The sequence below is a fragment of the Homo sapiens genome, chromosome 5, assembly GCF_000001405.40.
Source record: "Homo sapiens chromosome 5, GRCh38.p14 Primary Assembly".
Taxonomy (NCBI): Eukaryota; Metazoa; Chordata; class Mammalia; order Primates; family Hominidae; genus Homo; species Homo sapiens.
The window spans coordinates 74365118-74387276 of record NC_000005.10 but is presented as its reverse complement, the minus strand read 5'-3'; the positions used below and the strand labels follow the sequence as shown (position 1 = coordinate 74387276).

Below are 22159 nucleotides of genomic sequence, written 5' to 3'. Positions count from 1 at the left end.
TGTGGGGCATGGCATTGGATTAAGAACTCAGATTCTGTTGAGGCTCTGGCTTTGGAATTCAATCTTATACTTTTGCTTGAGGTAAGAAAGCATTCACAGTAACCTCATTCTTCTGCAATGCTCAGATGATGACTAAAGAAAAAATCATTCCAGTGAGCCAACATTAGGTATCCCATCCTCTGGCACAAAGAATCAGGGAAGAGGTATTTAAATAGAGCAAAACCACATCAGTTTGAAATTCAACGACCTGAAACCAGACAGTCAGAGATGGAATCACAGAATGTGAGAATCAGAAGGTAATTTAGTGATCACCTAGGCCACTGGTTTCCAAACTTTAGCATGCATTGTGATCACCTGGTGGGCTTGTCAAAATAGAGACTGCTGGACCCTAATGCCCAGGAACTATAATTTGGTAGGTCTGGGACCTATCCGAGAATTAAGAACTTAATTGGGTTGGATCCAAGAATTTGCATTGCTAACCAGTTCCCATATAATAGCGATGTCACTGGTTTGGCTACCACATCTTGAGAGCCACTGATTTAGATGACTCCTGTACTTTACAAGTAAGGAAACTGGAATGGAAAGTTGAACTGTTCAAGGTAACAGTGCAGAAAATGAAAGGGCCAAGGCTAAATCTAGTTCTTTTGAGTTCAGGTTCATTGTTCTTATTTCTGTTCCACCATTCATGACATAAATTTACTGTGTCTACAATAACATATATTTTCTTAGGAATAATAGGAAACTCCCCAAATCTTTGCATTCCCACTTGGTATTAATCGACTTTGGGAAGTCATGTAACCACTCTACTGTTTCAGTTTCTGTAAAGTGGGAAAAATAGTAATACTTGTAATAATAGGATAACAATCCTCTCTGATATGATGGTTGTGAGGATTGACATATAATATTATAGATATATAGGTATATACATCAAATATTTATAAAGTTCTTAGAATAGTGCTTTGCAAACTGCAATTATTGTTACTAAATATTAGCTATTTCTAATTATTTTGAAAATATTTTATATTACCAAGATTTCACTCTATCTGGTCAAACTGGTTGATATAAGAATAGTAAAGGTGACTAAGAGAAAAAAAGTCAGAATATGGCTAATCCCAAAACAGATTATTTAAAATAATTGGATTTTAGAGTGAGTGTGATCTTCTAAATTATCTACTCCAGCCCTCTCTTCCTATGCAGGAAACAGAGAAGTCACAGAGAAATTAAGTGATGTGTTTAAGCTTTTGTAGCTAATTAGCCGTACTGGAGTTCTAGAACTCAGTTTAATCCTATGCTAGTCAATATTTTTGAATGTAGCATTATATTTTCTTAGTCCACTTTCTTTTGCTCATAAAAGAATATCTGAGACTGGATAATTTATAAGAAACACAATTAATTTTTTATAGTTCCGAAGATGGGGAAGTCCAAGGTTGAGGGGTTATATCTGGTGAGAGCCTTCTTGCTGAGACCCTGCAGAGTTCCAAGGTGGCACAGGGCATCACATGGTGAAGGCGCTGAGCATGCTGGCTCACGTCTCTCTTCCTCTTTCTATAAAACCACCAGTCCTACTCCCATAATAACCCATTAATCCATTAACCTGAAAATCCATTAATGCACGAATGGCTCTACCCTCATGCTCCAATCACCTTTTAAAGGGGTCACCTCTCAATACTGCCACATTCGGGATTAAGTTTTCAACATGAATTTTAGAGGGGACCTTTAAACCATAATGAATATCTTCTTACAGTGTTATCTCTATTTCCTAGTGCTATGAATTCAGCTGAATTGTAGAGTTGACAACATACCGTTGCTTCAGTATCTTGTCCTGCTTGTTCTGAATGCTTTTTCCTAAATGCTTTATTGTTGTTGCTGTTGTTGTTGTTCCTGCATAGGGCAAAATGAGATGCCTTTATTTCTATTAAGTTTCAAAAATACTCAGAAGGATATGTGAAGCTATTTCCTACCTGCTTGTTATTCTACTGTGTTTCCCCTGAAACTTTCCATGTCTTGAGATGACTCAATACCATGGAAAGCAAATTATTATTCAATTTAAAAATCAAGACTCATTTAAGGTATCTAAATTCCAATTTGGACAGCAAAAGGTTAATAGCGCATAGAAAAAATTCCAGCAGCCCACAAATCTAAGCATAATTATGTATGAACATGAGGCTTTTATTGCTGTCAAAATTAATCACTTTTCAACTTCCAGCTGTTAAAACCCTTCTGGCAGTTCTCCAAGCAATTCCCCTACAGTTACTTTTCCTTCAATTAATTTCTGGTGCAGTTCACAGGCTCCTGTTACATAAGCAGCAACTGAAAAGTTGACTTCTTGGGCTTTCTTTCTCTTTCCTTCCTTTCTTCCTTTGCTTAAAACTAGAAAACGACAGAATATGAAGCTTACTACTTTTACTCTTTCAGCTTGACTCTTAAAATCTAGAAACGAGCAGTGTGGAATTAAAGTATTAGTATTTATTATAAAGCACTTTATGTGTGTGAAGTGATTTGTAATAATTTTTATTAGCCATTTCTTTCCACCGTCCTCTGAGGTACGTGAATGTTGTTATGTTTGCACTCTACAGCCCCACCCACTTTTCTCCCCCAGAAACTTTGCAGGAAATGGAATTTACAAATCTTCAGCACTGGGTTTAACCCCGATGGTATGCACCATTTATTTCTGGGATGGTGGCTACCTTCGCCACTCCTGTAGGCATACAGGTTTGTTGTGGTGGGAATTATCTCAGAAGGAGAAGCCGTGAGGTGCCTGAAGCTGCCCAGTTGCCTCAAAGCTCTCGTGGTGGACTGCACCCCCAACCCCCATTCTAGAAGCAGCTGCCAAGAGACTGGTTGAGTTCTGAAGGGCAGAGGCCTGTGGTAAACTATGCCATTGTGTTGACTATGAATCCTCAAGGAGATTGATAAATGATCACAGTGTATGATTGTATGAAAGTCTGCATCTTTGCATTTGCTTGGCACAGACCGAGTGCTTGCACATGGGTACTGGGTCAGATGTGTTGTCTTTCCAGTCTTCCTTCCTGGGATTCCAGAAGAATAGTCCTTGCATCCTTTCTCACTGCTGTAGAGATCTGAATGAAGGCCGACGCTGCGCTTCCTAGGGACGGGGAGTTCTAATTCCTCTCACCTCACCTGCATTATCAGGGCATATGCTCTTCCACATCTGAGTGAGTTAAGCCAGTTTCATTTCCCTGGTTTGTCTCTTCCAGCTCCCTCCAAAGTTGCCTGCCCTCTTCACACCTGGGGTGGAGGGCGCCTTCCCTGGGCACCCTCCTTCTCCTCCTCATCCACCCTGCTTCATGCTGTTCCATAATTGCACGTTAAAATGCTGTAATGAACAGATGCTTCTAGTGTGTAGTCTCTTTGTAATTTCTGCTATCATCCTCCATTTTCATGCAAAATTAATGTATTTCCAGATGCTGATTCCTGAGTCTTTCTACCCGATAGTGGCAGTGCATGAGATTTGAAACTGGGCAAGGGGGTATGAAGATGTGTTTGGGGCAGAGGTAAAAGAGTAAAGAGGTCTTGCCTATTAAAAAAAATGTAAGAATGCAGCAAACACCTTGTAGTGCCTGTTTGTTTTATCATGAATATGCAGTTCTGTGCTACCCTGTATTTATGTGGTTGGGAGGAGAGACTGCAGATGCAGGGGAAATCTTCATTCCATTCTTATCATTCAGACTCTAAAGTGGCTTGTCATTGAAAATTTGGGCTTTGAAAATTCAAGGCTGTCATAATTTAGGCTATGGAGCAAGATTTCTTGTCCAAGCAGGAGTCTTGCTGGTCAGTGGGCTGGGGAGTGATTTGTGTGAATTTATCTCAGCACGAGTCCCCTGAGGCTGGTTTCTAGGCTGCCTTGGTTAAAAATAGCCTGTTGATGAAATCACATCCTAGCTCAAACCTAGCCCAAGGAAATGGCTCAAGGCCCGAGCACCTTACTGGAATATGAAGCAGAGACAGATTCACCAAGAAGTCATCAGATTGTCCCTTTACTACAATTTGCACTGCAGTGAAAAATCTGTGTCAACCTCTCCCTCCTCTTTCAAAAATTAGCTGGTTAGATTCTCACAGGACTGCGTTATTTGACTCCAGTCAGGGTAATTTGGACAAATCTTACTGAGCCCTGAATTGATGGTCTAGAGTGAATTGAGTCAGGATTAAAGTCAGGATTCTCTGAGTCTGACGACCAGAGGCCAAGACTCTTCCTTTGGGAAGCTGCCAAGACATCTAAGAGACAGGCTGGAGATCATGTTGAGAGCACCAAGGCCAGGAAGGACTGCTGATGAAGTTTTGTCCTTCTGTTCAGTATTTAACGTACTTCCTATTTGTAAGACATTCCTTAAAAATTGCTACAGGCACAGTTTTTGTTAATTGGCTTATATAACATGCATGAATATTATTTTTCACTGAAAATACCTTTTTGTACATTATGTGCTTGTTTCCTTAATTGGATACTCTGTGGGTGGTTTGGCTAGATTTGGTGTTCCCTAGACCTGTAGATTCTATCATTCGAACTCCAAACATCTCACCAAACTCTACCAAGTGTAAATTAAAAACAAATACGTATGCAGTCAACAAGTTGGGGAGAAGAAGTTCTGTTTGGCATTAGAGTCACTTTGCAATTGGCAAAATACAGTTACAGTAATTTATATTGCTCTTATTCCATCTGCTTTCTGGCTTAAAATGTCCTGGATTGCCTCAAACTCTGAATATGCAATATTTTCCATTTACAAAATTTTCCTGCATAATCCATTTTATTTTTCAGAGAACTTTTGAAAAACAACATTGGTTAGTTTCATATTTCTAGAGTCAAGTTTTATGTGATATGATTTTTAATCTTATAAATGGATGATAAAGCCTGAAGAGATAATCCAGGGAAACTTCTAGAGAGAAAATGTTTGTCCCATGGACTCAGTGCAAATTCTGCCAACAAATGAATAGTTCACAGCAGCTGGACTTTGTAGAGGCAGAGCCCACATAGTCTCAAGTAAATTCCTTCTGAGGCCTGCAGCTTTCTACCACCACCCCCTGGTTATGTTTAAATACGTTCTGCCTCCATGCCTCTTTGGAACTTCAAATTTCTTTTTGGAGCCATGGAGGCATGAGTGTTTATAAATTATCTTCTTCACTACTCAATTATGAAAGGAGGAGTAGAAATGAGTGCACATGTTGAAGATTATAGGAAAACACGCAAGTTTCAGAGTCTGTATGATTCTGGGACAGGGGAATGGAGGTGAGGGGATAGTAGCTGGTCCTGGGATTTGGCACTCCTGTCTATTCATTTGCCAGGAGTTACACTCACCCACTTCTGTGTACCGTATTAGGGAGGGAAGGTAGGGATGGAAATCATAGAGTAAACAGTCTCATCAATTCCAGCCACATCGCCTGAGTTTTCAAGTGATAAATAGGATTGTTTGGAAGGCATTGGCAGGCTCTTTTCATGGCATTAGGTACTATTTAGAAGACAAATGATTTGAAGTTGTCTTCTTAGTTGAGAAACATTTGCAAGGATTTTCTGTTTTGCCTCTTTCAACATATAACACTATTATTTAGTTTAGTTGTTTGTTTGTTTCCTAAACAGGGTCTCACTCTGTCACCCAGGCTGGAGTGCAGTGGCACAATCCTGGCTCACTGCAGCCTTGACCTCCCTGTCTCAGATGATCCTCCCACCTCACCCTCTGGAGTAGCTGGGACCACAGGCATGTGCCACCATGCTTGGCCAATTTTTTTTGTGTGTATTTTTTTTTGAGCCGGGGTTTCATCATGTTGCCCAGGCGGGTCTCAATCTCCTGGGGCCAAGCGATCCACTGGCCTTGGCCTCCTAAAGTGCTAGGATTAGAGGTGTGAGCCACTGCACCTGGTCCACTAGTTTAGCTTTTATCCTACAAAACTGTCTTCAGTTGAATTATAACAATGACTTACATTTGAATTCTACTGTCTAATTTTCACAGACATTATTTCATTCAATACTCCTGTGATCAAGACTTTTTTTTTTTTTTTTTGATACAGAGTTTCACTCTTGTTGCCCAAGCTGGAGTACAAAGGTGTGTCCACCTCCCGGGTTCAAGTGATTCTCCTGCCTCAGCCTCCCGAGAGCTGGGATTACAGGATCCCACCACCATACCCAGCTAATTTTGTATGTTTAGTAGAGACAGGGTTTTGCCATGTTGGCCAGGCTGGTCTCCAACACCTGACCTCAGGTGTTCCTCCCACCTTGGCCTCCCAAAGTGCTGGGATCATAGGCATGAACCACTGCACCCAGCCCTGTCATCAATACTTAATTGGAGCCGGAAAGGAAGGTATCATTAACTCACTGCTCGGGCATGGAAATTAAGAGAAAAGTAACTTGTCCAGGCTCACAGGGCAAGTTGGTGGCAAAGTGGGGACTGCAGCCAAAGTCTCCTGGCTCCTAGTACAGTGTTTTCTATTGGAAAAAGCAGTGTTTAGTGATGCTTATTAGCTATTGGCATCCTTCATGAAGATGGTAACATCTCTGGTCCATCAGGAGGGAGGTACATTGTGCTTTCTTCAGTAGACACTCATATGTAGGTTATTCTTCAGTTTGTAACTGCCCACAGCACCTGTTATGCCAAGTTATTCTTACCTTGCCTGCTGGATTTTCTGGACAACCCATAACCTTTGCTAGAAAGAAGCCTGCACGTGTTCTATTTCTGGAGCTTCGCTAGTCTGCCAGCAGTACTCAGGTCCCCAGGGTACCTACCTATTTCAAGTTGCTTGAAGGTGTGCTTCTGGGCACCTGGGAAGTGCGTTGGACCCCTAGAATGTACCTGCCCTGGCTGATACTTAATATGAAAGCTGCCTCGTTACTACTGTCCTTATCAGCTCAGTACCCAGGGAGGTGTCCAGGCCTGGACATTGCTCCTCAAACAATAGTTTGGTTTCATTCCAGGAGCTTTTGTTGTTGCCGTCTTATTGGCTGTTATTTGGAAAGCTTAGAGATGAGGCTAGTTTAACAAGTCAAGAGTCGCTGTGAAATATCTATTTTGCTGCCCTGTAAAAACAGAATACATTCTCTGATTTTGACTGTGGTGAGGAGCTTGATGCTGGATTGATGCTACAACAACTTCAAAGTACTGGCTTTCTTGAAGGTACAAAGAGTTGAAGCTATCACCATTTAGCTTTTAGATAATCTGCACATTTTGTTCTTCCCTGCTGCTCAATTGCCAGAGTTTAATAAGGATGCCTTAGAACACATGATCTCTCCTTGCAGTTTAAATCAATCACCCATTAATTGACACACAAACCTCTCTAGAAAGAGCTCATCTTCTTGGTTTCTGGGAATGTGACCTGGTTCTCTGTTCAGGTATAGGGTCACCTTTGTTCTCTCTGTTTGTTTCCCAAGCTTTAGGTAAAACTTCTAACCAGGCATGGTTTGTCTTCAGCTCTATTTAATTTGTTTCAGAGGCTTCTAATCTACTTTAGATCTTTCCCTTTCTCCCTCCAAACTTCAATTTGAGAATGAATTCCTACTGCAATAATATTAAGGGTGGGGCCTTTAGGAGGTGATTAGATCATGAAGACTCTGCCCTCATGAATGGGATTCGTGCCCTTATACAAGGGCTTAAGGGAATCTGTTTGTCCCTTTTCGTCCTTCCATCATGTGAGAACACAGCATTTGCTCTTTCTGCCACGTGAGTTTGCAGCAAAAAGGCACTTACCAGACAGCAAATGCTGGTGTTTTTATCTTGGACTCCCCAGCCTCCAGAACTGTAAGAAACAAATTTCTGTTTTTTATAAATTACCAAGTCTAAGGTATTTTGTTGTAGTAGCAGAAATAGACTAAGTCTCATTCATAGACCCGGTGCTTTCCAGCTGCTCAAAATTATTTGCTGTGCAGTCCTAACTGGGTCCGCATTTGATGGCATCTGTGGGTCATTACAAGGTTTCTTTCCCTCTCAAAATTCTCCTAACTTCTCTTGGAAGCCCTGCCCTTTCTGTTTATAATAAACAACTTCTCTTTTAAAAAAAGATAGCCATTATGATGATTACTATCAACACTATTATACCACCACCATTACCCCCTACTCTTTGCCAAGCCCTGAGAACACACAAAAATATAAAAAGACTCTCTGCCCTGGGAGAGTTTCTAATCTGGGTGCAGGAATATAAACACTATTGATCACAAGTCAATTCCTGTCTTACTTCTAGGATAAAATGCTTATGCATTCCAATAGGAAATATAAGAGCATGATGCCTTAGCCCATGGTACTTTTGAGAGGCCAATGAAGAGATATTCAGAAAAGGCAGGGACCCTGAAAAAATCATATCACATCAATGGGTATCTACAAAAGCCTACCTTTAAAATCTTCTCTACCACCTGTTTCCAGCTGATGGCCCTGTGATTGTCCATAGTAAAACCACACAGGGTGTATTTGGGGGTGGCCTTTTTTGTTGTGGGGGTGATTCTGTGAGTGTTGCTGTAGCTCACCCTAAATTACTCATGTCCATCCTAAAGCACAGCGGAAGAGATGTACATGACTGTCAGACCAGAGCTTCTGCCAAGCAGAGGCAGGATGCAACAAGACACTTGAAAGCAGAAATCTTCCTGTTTCTGTAACATTTCCAGCTGGAAAACCAATCAGAGCCACACATTCCAGCTACACTTGGGAAACACTGAAATATCCAAGTAGTAATCACCTAGGTATGCTGCTAACTGCAGCTCAAAATAATTCTGGGGTTGCCAGTGCCATGTACCTTGTAGGCTTCCAATTACCTGTGCTCACTTCTCTCTTTTCTCCAAGGACCAATTATTGGGGGAATTTGGCATTTCTCCTCCTCTCTGCTTCAGCCATTCAAAGAAAGATTGTTATACACCAGAATGTCTGACCATTTTAATTAAGCCAGTCAAAGGTAGGTGCTGAAACAGTTTAGCCCCCGAAGCAAGGATTAAACACTTAAGGTTGAGGAACATAGAGGTTAGTTAGTGTCAAAGAGTTGGAAGAGACCCTAGAGTAGGATGACCATACATTTCAGTTTAACCTGAAAGCCCCTGTCTCGGTGTAATTATTATCACTTCTTTTCTCTCAAAAGTGCTCAGTTGGGACAAAAATGATATAGCTACTTTGCCTTAAAGATTATCTAGTCTGCCTTTCAGTTTGGTTCAAATTTAATGTAGAAATTATCTTTCTGTGAATGATGGAGACTTGGGAGATGTAAAAAAATAAAAAAAAGCTTTTATTTTATTTAAACCTTAAATAAACCTATTTATTTTTATTAAAATCTTTCTGTTTTCTCTTCCTTTCAAACACATGGTCATCTGTTTGCTATTAACCACCAGTAATGGGGGACTCATACTTTGCAAGGAATCTCTAATTAATGAGTTCTCAGTTCTGCATCAAAATCTTCCTTCCTCTGGCTTCACCCTTTGATTCTAGTTCCTTCTTCTGAAACAATCTAGAGTAAATTTCTTCTCTCTTCCACAAAATATTTTCCATTTTGGTATATTTGTGGTGTCTTTTTCAAGAAAATAATCATGTTTACTTCACTTCCTTTTTTGAAATTCGAAGGAAACTGATCTGATTTTGGACTGAGATACCTTATTTTATTTTTTATTTTTTTGAGACAAGGTCTCGCTGTGTCACCCAGGCTGGAGGGCAGTGGTGTGATCAGAGCTCTCTGCAGCCTTGCCCTCCCGGACTTAAGTGATCCTCCTACCTCAGCCTCCCGAGTACCTGGGACTACAGGAGCATGCCACCATGCCCAGTTGATTTTAAAAATTTTAGTTAGCAAATAGCTCTTGCTATGTTGCCTGGGCTGGGCTGGTCCTGAACTCCTGAGCTCAAGCAATCCTCCCAACTCAGCTTCCTAAAGTGTTGGGATTGCAGGCATGAGCCATCTCGCCCAACTGGACTGATATGTCTTAAAGACAAAAGCAAGAATTTTGCTAAGCTCTATTATAGAACTCCTAGGTACATGCCCAATTGTTTGGAGATTGTAGGTAAGATCATGCAGGAGTTACCAACAAAATAACAATGCCAGCATCCTGTAGTGAAAACTTCTTTATGACATTGTTTTATGAATGCAGGTGAATGACCTAGATAATGTCTCTAAAACTTTACAGGCAGGACATAAGCATAACATGAAGAAACAAGGCTCTCTTTAAAGACTATTCCAAGCTAATGATGGAAGCAAGATTCATAGGTTTTGTTTAAAAAGAAAATGTATTTTATTATTGTAAAAATAACACAGGATGATTGTTGAAGATTTACTACACCTCAAAAAAAAGAAAAAAAGAAAAAGACTACCATCAGAGATAATATTCCATGTCCAGTTGATTTTTAAAAATTTTTTGATGTACGTCCTTTTTTTCTTTTCTCTATGTGGATATACTTGATAAATAATTTAACAAAATAAGAATCATATTGATATAGAGTTTGCTCTACTTTTGTATTAATATTAGATAACAATTATTCCACTGCACCATTAAATAAGCCTTAACATTTGATTTTATGGTTTCAAAAGACTCAACAATATATATTTTGTACTTTTCCAAACATCTATTGTTAGAGATTGAGGTTATTTTTAACTACTCCTCTAATGCTGCAGGCTACATCCTCAATCCTTGCCTGCTTCACTGATTATTTCCTTAGGATAGACTCCTAGAAGAGATTCTGGTTAAATAATTTTATTAGTTGTTTGGGGTGTCATAACAAAATACTGCAGATCTGGTGGCTTAAACAACAGAAATTTATTTTCTCACAGGTCTTGAGGTTGGAAGTCCCAGAACAAGGTGCCAGTCCTGGTGAGGGCTCTCTTCCTGGTTTGCAGATGGCAGCCTTCTTGCTGTATTCTCACACGGTGGAGGGAGAGCTCTGGTATCTCTTCCTCTTCTTATATGACCACCAGTCCTATCAGTTAATCAGTTATAGCCCCACCCTTATGACCTCATTTAACCTTTATCACCTCCTCCCAGACTCTCTCCAAATACAGTCACATTGGGGGTTAGGGCTTTAACATGTGAATTTTTGGGAGACACAAGCCTTCAGTCCATAACAAAAATATAAATCTCTTTAATCTTTTTGATCTATAAATATCAACTGTAAGGTTGAACAAATTTAGAGTCCCACCAGCAAAGCAGTGGGATTTCAGCACACTTTTCTCAATGTAGAGCATCACCATTAAAGAAAAAGAACCGTAATTAATTTGTTATTGGAAAAGTTGTAACTCATGGCTTTAATTTGGATTTCTTTGATTCCTAATGAGGGGAACATTTTTCATATGCTTATATGCTATTCATAGTTTTATTTCATGAATGAACTCATCACGCTTTTGGTACTTTTATTTTTTTTCGGCTTACTAATTTGTATGAGCTATTATAGAGTAATAATAAATTACAACTGATGTTACTTAGCATTTACTATCTACCAATATTGAAGGCAAGCAAATAACATATAGATGCTCCTTCAAATGTTCATAAAACTCTCTGCATTATGCTTTAAACCCCCGTTTTAAAGACAACAATCCTGAGACAGAAAAATTAAGTAGATTTCTTATAGAAGTTTATGTCTACTGCATTCAAATTATATCTGTGATCATTGCTCTGGTCCTACTGTGTTTTGGTTCTGTCTTTGGTAACACCTATTATTTGCAGATTGAATTTCCTTTCTTTGTGCTCTACATATATCATCTTCCCATTTGCCTTAAAAAATAACACATTTTTTTGGACCTCCCTCCCCCTTTTATCTTCTGTTCAACTCCATTCTGCACATTACTGGTTAGATTTCCCAAGGTCTGTTTTACTGCCCTCAGGGCTGACTTCATTTCTCATATTGTAATTTCAGCCTCCTTATCTCACCCAGCTTCCTTTTCACCTGGGTTTATTGTCTTTACATTCCATGGCGTTGTCTTTTCATCTCATTGCGTTCTTTCAGTTCAGCTTTTTGGCTTTCTGCTCCTGTTTCAGAGAGGCCATATCTTCTTAGATCCTACTGAAAATAATAAAAATATTTCATACCATTTTCTCTTTTTTTTGATAGCAAATCATTTTCAAAGGTGTGTTCATCTTCTTGATCTCTGGGATATTGTTCCCTTTCCCCTGAGGTTTCATACTTTTTTCATAGGCCCTCTATTTAGTTTGGTGTTTACTAATCCTTAGATTAGACAAGTTCCCTCTGCATTCAGTGTTTGCCAACACACAGATTTTGTGGCTCTGCTGTAGAGAAATAAGATCTCACTCTCTTGCTTGATTCTTTGACACTTTGAACTGAGGGAGTTGGTGGAAATTTAGAAGCCCGGCACACACTGCTGTTGGATATCTTAGAGTCTTTTTTCTTGCTTATGTAGCTTCAATATGAGGGCTACATCCACTAGGATGTAGAGCATGATTCTAGACCCCGACAACTTCCTGCTCGTTGCTTTCAGTTCACAGATGCAATAGAAAATGTGAGTGGGGTGGGGTTAGTGGGAGAGGATGCGGTGGAGAACAGGTGATTGGTGTTTTACTCTGGTACCTTAGAAATAAGCACTTGCACAATAGAACTTACTGTTCAGCACTGACCTAGGCCTTTGAGACAGGGCAGACAGGGGAAGGACCAGAGGCCATCTCACTTTCTTTGCCATGTGTGGGTTTCCCTGCTTCAGGAGAACACCTGTAGCTTGGCCACTCACTGTTTCTCTGAATCCACCTTCTGCTGTCTTGGAGTTGGTGAAAATGTTTCTCCACATTTTGGCAATTTGTATTCACGCTAATTTTGAATTTCATTCTTTAAAACATGTAGTGGGGAATGTATGTATATTTACTGGGAAATTGAGAGAGGTTGAGTCATGGACTGCTAGCCAGGTGTCATTGTAAACTGGAAGTTCTTCACACTGATATTTTTTTGTTTGACAGTTTACTCCCAGACACTGAGCTTTGTCTGGATGTGCATTAGTGGCACCATCAGCATCTGATCATTTCTTGACACCTCATTCACCCACTTATCCATTGCCAGGTCTTTTTGCCATGGGTCTTGTGTCCGTGGTCTTCTTTCCATCCCCACCACTTCCACCGTGGCTCAGGCCTTCACTGTTTGCCATGGTGTCATGTGGTTGCTGGCTGCCTGGACTGGCAATCACCAGCCTTGCCTCCTTTTCCATGCTTCGTATTACTGTTAAACACACTCTTTTTACTGCCGTGGGACAGTATCATGGGTTCCTAAAACTGCTCAGTGGCTCCTCTTTGTGATTCTAATAAGTTCCAGGTTAACATAGACATTCTAGGTACCTCATGACCTGTACCCAACCTACGTTACCAGTCCTAACACCTTTACTCTATTCCTGTACCCTTTGCTCTTACTCAACTGGCTTATCCTCCATTCACAAGCATGTTCTACATTTCCCTGCCACCACCCTTCTACTTACGTCATTCCTTCTACTGTGCTGGGATCTGCTTCTCTTTTATTTCTCTTTGCAGTAATCTTAATCATCTTCTAGAACCCCATTAAATGCAATCTTTTCCGTGAGGCCTGAATGCAATATCTTCTTTCTCTGAGCTCTGAAACTGGATCATCTATTGAATACATTCTGCTTTGTGTTGGAGTTTGTGTGTGTGTGTGTGTGTGTGTGTGTGTGTGTGTACTACCTGCTACCTCCCCTTCTAGATTGTAAGTTTTTTGAAGTCCCCCATCACATTTTACATTGGTTAAGCTATTCTATTTTGCTAAGCCCTAATTTCCTGATTAAACTGAGTGCAATAGTAGTGCTTAACTTCTAAGTTTGCAGCATTGTTAAATGGAATAAATCATCTAGAGTGCTGAGCAGAGAGCTTGACATACAACAGGTCCTCAACATTTATTGGTGGAACAAATAAATGAATGAGTCTTCTCGTTTTCTCTTGAATCCTATATTATTGCAAATGCAAAATGTTTTCCTATCCTAAACTTTGCTAAATTTGCAGGGCCCTCAGTACTAGTTGCATTCCACATTTTTCTTGAGCATTGCCAGAAAGTTTAGGGGCAAGAAGGGAATGATCAAATGTAACTACCATTAGTGAAAACCACAGGCACTGAACAGCTGGATAATGTGAACAGACAAGTTCAGCTGAATCTCCAGAAATGCATCAATCATAGGATGATGGCAGCTTTTGGGGAGAGTTAAGAGATGCTTGAAAAGGAGCCAGAGTGTGGAAGAAAAAAGATGTTTAGAGTTGGGTTTTCAAAACCAAAGTCTTCATCATGGCCAACAAACTATGGGAAGGTGGCAAATGTGTGTAAAAAGACCTTTTCATTTTCTTGAGTTCTTTAGAAAATTGGAGAGTTTTGTTTGGTTTATTTATTTATTTATTTTTGAGCAGCTTAATAATAGAAATTGCCTCAGGGATGGCGTCTGCCATTGCTTTTCAAATGCAATACTGTTCTCCCTCCGGGGATTGTGCTGCAGAGGCTCCTGGAGTGAATATTGCAAAAGCCACTAATAATACTCCTTCTCAGGTAACATTTTCTGGTATAAAATATCTTGGCTTAATATAGTCTAAAAACATTGAAGTGTAATGTGGCCAACACGATAACTTTCTGAAATACAATACTATTGTCCTTACTTCTGTCTTGGTTTCTGTGGTGTCAGAGGCCCAAAATGAATCAAGATGACAAATCCTTAGCTAAGGCAATGTAGAAGCCACCATGGTACTGTACAGGAATTATAGTCTCTTATTTTTCCCGGGAGAGAAAGCATGGAGTAATGTAAAGAACACTGGATGAGTGTCAGGATTCAGCTTCAGGAGGGGAAAGCCAATAGACTTGGGCCCAGCACTTAACCACTGTGCGCCTTATCTCTTAATTGGAAGGAATTGGGCTACAGGGTCTTAGGGGTCCTTCTAAATAAGAAGTTTTCAATTCTAAGGTTTCTTCTGTCTGGAGAGGAGCATATCATGATGGATTGGTCTCTGGAATCAACAGGCTTGGTTTTGAACTAAGAGATCTTCGACCAGTTGCTTACCCACCCGTGGCCTCATTTTTCTTATATAAAAGATGGGGATAGTGATATTACTTGTATCAGTTTGGATATGCAGCTGCTGTTGATTTGTTGATTCAGCTGCTCCACAGGAACCCACGCTCTTTTTGATGACTTCACCATCTTTAATTTCATCTTCATGTTTGTTGCCTCATCTTATAAAAAGGCACCAGCCTCTCCAGGTATTAAGTCTTCATTCCCATCAGAAAGCAGGGGGTGGGAGTGGGAGGTGATAGCAGGATTTTTTTTCAAGTATATGCATGGGGAAAGGGTCTATGTTCTAGGGCTGCTTCTTCCTTTTCTCTGAAAAGGAACAACTTTTCCCAAACTCCCACATGACTTCCCATTGTATTTTATTGGCCAGAACAGGACCACAAGACTCCTCACCTGTGGGAAGTTGGAAAAGTCTTTTTCAGCTTCTGTGATAGTGGTTAAGGGAGAATGGGTTGGAAGTCCTTTGAAGTCAGCCAACAAACAGGTTTGCCAGTCCGCCCCAGGTGACGTCAGAATGTCATGAGGTACGTGTAGTGGTTAATGCTGGTTGAGTGCTTAACTCCCGGGTCACGGCCTGACCCAGAGCCAGCACTGGATAACTGTTAGTTACCCTTCTCTAACAGTCTATTCTTCCCTTTGCACCTGATTCAACCTCACTGCAGTAATTTTCAACTTTATCATATGAGAATCCAGAATCCTTGATATTTGGCACTAGAAGCCCCTTGACTTCTTTCTCTTCTAGTAATGCACTGCTTTCCTGTGCACTGCTCATGATAGCTTTAGTGTCTTGTCCAGGAGTGTGCATGTCTTAAACTCACAAAAGGAAAGCTGGGTCACACAGCAAGGGAGGCTGAGATTGTCCTGTACAAGGTGTTTTGCCTGAACAAAGCCACGGGCCATTCCTTATGCATGGGGTACCATGCTTTTCACGATGACCCTGTTCTATTCTGACCTTAGCAGTCTGGACCAGAGGATGGTGCCTGACTCAAAAGGCAGCCAGTGAGAGGCTGCAGTGAGATTTCTGTCCAATAAGAGAGGTCCATAGAGAGTAGTAATTAATGGAACTAATCAGTCTCTCTGTCTTAGTGTCACTAAGTGTCATTCAAATATGCCAGATTTTAGAGATGTGCATAAGCTAAGAGGCACGTAGAGAGGAGACAAGCAAGTAGATGGCACAAGAAACGGAAGCTGTGAGAAGGCAGAAGCCATGAGATGGATGCATTTGTTGAAGAGGCCTTAGCATCTGAACAGAGAATGGCTGACTTGCCATTATGGGAGGAACAGCACATGCTGTTGAGGGACAAGATCAGATCTCTGGAGCTGCTGCTTTGCCTAGGGTGTTGCTATGGCCATCCTGTATCCTGGAGCATGCCCCAGTTCTCCCCTGGCTGGGCTGCCATCTTTCTTGCTCCTCCGGGCCCCCTCTATGAACCCCTTATTCTGAAGGAATGTGCAAAGATCTCTGATCTTGGTAACTATGGAGCCCCATTTACAAAGGAATTCAAATAATTTAGGCACAACTGAGTTGTCCTGTTACTAATTAGAGTAAGAGAGGGTGGCTGATGTGCAGACTTCTTCCACCTGGCTGCCCCTCATGGAGCAGCCACCCTCATGGTAGGAGAAACCTACTCAGCAAAGATGAGCTGCGATTCTATTCTGTGCAGGCCCAGGGCCCACCAGCTGGGCACCAGGGCCCTGGCCCCCCATTTGCTGGCCAGAGAGTCTCTTCAGAGGGGAATTCAGGGGAGGCTGCCTTGCCACCAGACAATGGCTCCGTTTACATAATCCTCACTAGGCTGTGGCTGGTGTAATTCAGTTATTTGATTGATTTTATATTGTGTGATGCTGGAAGAAGTGAGGAAACAACAGGTTTTTGGCTGTACCCTCTGGCCTGTTCTGATCTGTCTTGTTGGCTTCAAGGATTTCACGAAGCTTTGTGCTGCTGCCAACTGTCTCCCTGGGTGTTGTTCACAGGCAGCATCCTGCTTCCCATGTGCATATCTCCACAGAATCCGTAGGAAGTGGGACCTAACCCTTAAGTTGCCGGCTCGTGGGTGGGGCATGCGGGCAGCAGAGGTTTGCGTGGAGTCTTCAGTGGCCCCACATGTTGCAGAGTTTCTCAAATGTTTAGTGCTCAAGCTCCATCTTGTCCCTTTATCCCCAGGAGAAATGGCTGTGTATTGGTTTGATTGGAATGATCTCCCTATGTCTGGCAGCTCTAACACAAGTTAACACAGCTTTAAAAACCAGTTTTCTTGATGTCTTGACACAGCAGATTTCCTAGTATGGAATTGTTAAGCCACATTTCAACTTCATTTCCAGGCATGTGTCTTCCTGTTTGTTTGTTTGTTTGTTTGTTTTTTGAGACGGAGTCTTGCTCTATCTCCATGGAGGCTGGAGTGCAGTGGTGCCATTTCGGCTCACTGCAACCTCCGTCTCCCGGGTTCAAGTGATTCTCCTGCCTCAGCCTCCCGAGTAGCTGGGACTACCGGATTATCGGCACGCGCCACCGTGCCTGGCTAATTTTTGTAGTTTCAGTAGAGACGAGGTTTCACCATGTTGGCCAGAATGGTCTTGATTTCTTGATCTCATGATCCGCTCACTTCAGCCTCCCAAAGTGTTGGGATTACAGGCGTGAGCCACAGTGCCCGGCCCTGTTTGTTAACTTGAAGGTTCTGCCATTTCTTATAGAGCCTCCATCTCTGGCATTTATTGTTGATACGTTGTTTCTTTTACTTTTTGTATGTTTATTTTTTATTCAAGTGAGACTCATGTTGACACATTTTGTTTTTCTCTTTTCTTTCAGCTTTAACCAAACTTGAGTAAGAACTCCCTGACTTGGAAACACTCAAGTTTCCCACACATGACTGGATGGCCCTGGCCACACTGGGAACGGAATGGGGGCCTCCCATTGGAACTCAGGGTGGAGGGGGAAGCTCGACCAGCTATTGTGGCCCCCACTTCCATTGACAAAGTAAGTGTTGCAGACGTGGGTGGGTGGGATACAGGGTGTGGGGGCTGGTTAGTGCCTGGCATCTGGAATTAAAACCTAAACACATTTCCCTTTAGAAACAATATTATTCACGAGGGCCAAAAGCCCACTAACCCCCCCAAGAGCTGAACGCTACGGTGTAAGTTCTATTAGTGATTTTTAATTCTGGCTGTGCATTAAAATCACCTGGATGTGCTTTAAAACCCTGCATGTGTTCCTCCAGCAGAGGTTCTGATTAAACTAATCTAAGCAAGAACCCAGGCATGCGTACTTTTTAAGTTTCCCTTGGCCATGCGCGGCGGCTCATGTCTGTAATCCTAGCGCTTTGACAGGACGAGGCAGGTGGATGGCCTGAGGTCAGGAGTTCGAGACCGGCCTGGGCAACATGGTGAAACCCTGTCTCTACTAAAAATACAAAAATTAGCTTGGCACAGTGGCACACACCTGTAGTCCCAGCTGCTTGGGAGGCTGAGGCAGGAGAATTGCTTCAACCCATGAGGAAGAGATTGCAGTGAGCCGTTATCATGCCACTACACTCCAGCCTGGGTGACAGAGTGAGACTCTGTCTGGAAAAAAACAAACAAACCAAAAACAAAACCAGTTTCCCTGGAAATCCTAATGTGCAGGCAGGGTTGAGAGCCCTGAGATTTTATATCTGGGTCAGGACTAGGCTGAGGCCAGAGAGGTGCCTAGGTACAAAGTGTCAGGAGGTGCTCGCTCTTGGAGCCGTGCAAGTTGGCCCACTTTGCAGGTCACATTAGGAACTTCGTCAGCATGGGAGTCAGTGTCTTGGATGGAGATGGGTTTTAGTTTTAAACTTACCTATTGTGAAAAAAGTCTTTAGGGCACAACCCATTTATAATTTGGTGATTTCTCCCTTCCTTTCTTCCTGCTTCTTTTACTGTCACACTCTTTTAACTCCTCTCATTCCAAACCTCTCTGCCTTGTTTTTACTCTCTCCTCATTTCTAGCACTTTCTTCTCCCCCTGCCTCCTCCTCCTCCTTTTCCTCCATCTTCTTTTCCTTCTCTGTTCTCTTTCCTCTGAGGGCGGCTCTTCCCTTTCTCTCTTCTTGTGTACTTTGGCTATTTTTGTTAGCCACATTCCCTTCTCATTATTCCAGGCCCGTTCATGTGTCCTGGATCGCTTTCTGTTTTTCTCCCTCCCCCAGTCCCTCCACTCCAGCACGCCCACCATTGCCCCACCATTGGCCAGTCTAGGACAATTCTCCCAAGGCTCCTCCCAAGCCCACACTGGCTACATCAGCCTCCAACAGTTGTTCATGGACCTTGCTTGGCCCTTGGTGACACCAGATGGATTTTTTATGTTGGGAGTGTGGGTGAGGGGGTAGTTCAGGAGGAGGAAATAAAAATTGGTGAGGATAGAGAGATTAAACTGTCACTCTTTTTCGCCCTGAAGCTACTTTGAGGAGTAAAGAGAAATGCCTGTAAAAGTTTTAGGCCTTGATTCATGGCAGAATTGGGAGGCAGGTTCCCATCGTGCCACCCATCCCTGGCAGTAAAGCTACCCAGGCTAATCTTTTGACTGTTTGTACCCTCTAGGTTTCCTTGAAAGATAAACAATTCTATCATCCTTTTCCTCAGTCAGCCCCCTCCAGCACTATTGGCACTTCTGCAGTTAGAAATAAGCTGCTTTGCATCACAAATGGGCCAGATCTTCAGAGCTGGGCCAGCAGCTCCTTTTTCTTGTGTGGGAAAGATCAGAGTAAGGAAAAAAGCCCAGAGCCCAGAAACATCAAGCTGGAACCGTTGAAAGGTTTTCTTCCTGCCAGACTTTGTCCAGACAGGCGGATAATGCAACATCCTTGGGAATTTGTCCTGGAATGGTCTGAGTCTTGTGGGAGAGGAATGAGGTGCTTGTCCAGGACTGTGCTCTTTTATCCACAGCTGATTGCTGTCACTTTGGTGCCTTGGCCTGTCCTCATGCACCCGGTTCCCTCCTGTATCCCAGGAATGCAGGACAGGGTGAACACACAGTGCTAGGGGAGGCCCAGCTGTAGGCCTCTCTGCTCACTCAAGGAGCACAGCCTGGGTGTGTCCACGCATGTGGGACTGGTCTTTGGGACCAACCACTTAGATCATCCAATTTTAGGGTGGCATTAACAGGGTATCTGGAAAGAGGCTGAGATTGCCCACAGCATGCCTGTGAGAGTGAGGGCAGAGGAGGTGGGACCAGGATGGCATTCACTGCACCAATCTCCTGCTGCACGAGTGTGATAGAGAAAAATGAACAGACAGCCTGTTGGGCTTTGAGCAGGCTGGCCAAGAGGGAATGGACATATTTTAGCTGAAGGGTACACTGTCTTTCCCTGTAGACAGGGCAAGAGAATAGAGAAGCAATGTTAGGTGGCAATTGTAATAATAATTACATGGTCTTCATGATACATGTCTTCAACTCATTTTCATATGCACCTTGCTGGAGCCTGCAGATAAATACCACACAGCAAAGTACTCTTATCTCTTATCCTCATATCACAAGAATTCAGAGTGTCATGTGACTTGTCTAAAATTTATATTGCTAGTAAATTGCAGAGCTGAGTCCTGTCTTGGCCCATACCTTGAAGTGTCCTGCTTAAGTGTCATGATATTGCACACTCTGGAGTTTCAGCCAGCTGCTTTGGTGAAACCCACATTGGATGTCATCAATGGAGTCATACAAATGGGTAAAATAAATAGGCAACTTAGTGAATTTGAATTCAGTGTGGGTTGGGATGGTCATTGCAGGAGGGTACTAGAGGGGCAGAAGTGGGAGTGGCAGGTGTTCTTCTCAGTGGCATTTGCCAGGTATAGATTAGGGCCACAATGTGTCCACTGTGGTCAGTCGGCAATCCTCAGGAATGGGGTCCAGCTAGGATGGGAAGAGCTGCCATGGTCTAGGGGAGGAAGCCTGAATTTTCAAAGGCTAGGGCTAGGGTTTCAATGAGAAACTGAAAAGATGATGGGAAACCAAGGCCCACATGAGAAGACGGTGAAAAATCTAAGCCCTCCTCATGGGGGCAGAGTGTGAACATTAGGATCAGATGCTTTTGTGGCATCTAGGGGCTGAGTCTGTCTTATTTCCCAGTAGACCCTCTTCTCTAGTAGCTATGACAGATTGTACTTTCCAAAGATGGCTGCAGTAATATCTCCCATCTCACATGCTTATTTTACACTGTAACTTTAACACTCCTCTCATGGAGAGGTGGAATCTATGTTCCTTCCCTTTGCATCTTGACATGTTTGTGACTGTGGAAGAAGTCATGCTATATGTCTTCTAAGACTGGGTCAAAAATGGTACCATGGTTTCTACCTTACTCACTGGAATGTTCATGCCAAAGCCCTGAGATGCCATGTATGCAGCTCGACTTCTCTGAGATTGCCATGCTGGGAGGAAGCCCAACTAGTCCATATGGAACAGCCACATGGAGAAGCCCTGAGACTGCATGAAGAGAGATATCTGGCCAGTCCCCAGTTTGTCAGCTTCCCCACTGTTTCAGCTCCCACCACCAACTGACTTCAACTGCATGACAGACCCCCAAGCCACAGCCACCCAGTAGCTTCCCAAATTCCTGATCCAAACAAAATATGAAAGATAATAAAATGATTGCTGTGGTTTGAAGCCACTATCACTAGGCTGGTAGTTACCAAGATTTGTTATTCATCAATAACTGGAACCATGCAGAACCCAGTTCTTATGGCCCACTTGGTGCTGGGATCACTGGGAACAGGTATGAACACCTGGGCTGCATTGGGATGAATAAACCCAAGGTCAGACCCTAGTGCTTGCTTATGTTTGGAGAAAGCCCCATCCAGCAGGGCATCTTGTGAGTATGTAAAAATTCAAGAAGGTCCAGTTGGCTAACATTGAGAAGGTTCCAAATGAGAGTGCAAGGTATCCCAACAGGAGGTGGAATGTATTAGTATTCAGATATCCAGGCTCATTCAGCCCATGCATCAGGCTGGTATGCAGGGACAGAGACCAGGTGTGATAGTGATTCTCATGAGGTGTGGTTAAGTATTAAGTGAGGCAAATCTGAGCACGCAGCCTAGTTCTAGCACATAGAAGCTTCTCAACAAATACTGAGCTATTCTGATTATATTATTTTAGACTTTTTCTTCTTCAAGAGGTTGTTGTTGCCATTATTGTTACTATTTGGCCTACCAGTGTAGGCAGAGCCATGGTTCTAGAGAGTCGACATTAATAAACCATAAACAAAGAC

At 42.4% G+C, this 22159-nt stretch overlaps 1 long non-coding RNA gene across 5 annotated transcripts in view; it reads left to right on the top strand.

Annotated features, from left to right (window-relative positions):
- Positions 1 to 22159, top strand: part of LINC01331 (long intergenic non-protein coding RNA 1331) — a 209330-nt gene that overhangs the window by 149497 nt on the left and 37674 nt on the right. For all 5 annotated transcript variants that reach the window (NR_197435.1, NR_126354.2, NR_197436.1 and 2 more), the window contains one exon: positions 17756 to 17923. This is a non-coding gene — a long non-coding RNA (long intergenic non-protein coding RNA 1331). The remainder of the gene's footprint in view (positions 1 to 17755; positions 17924 to 22159) is intronic.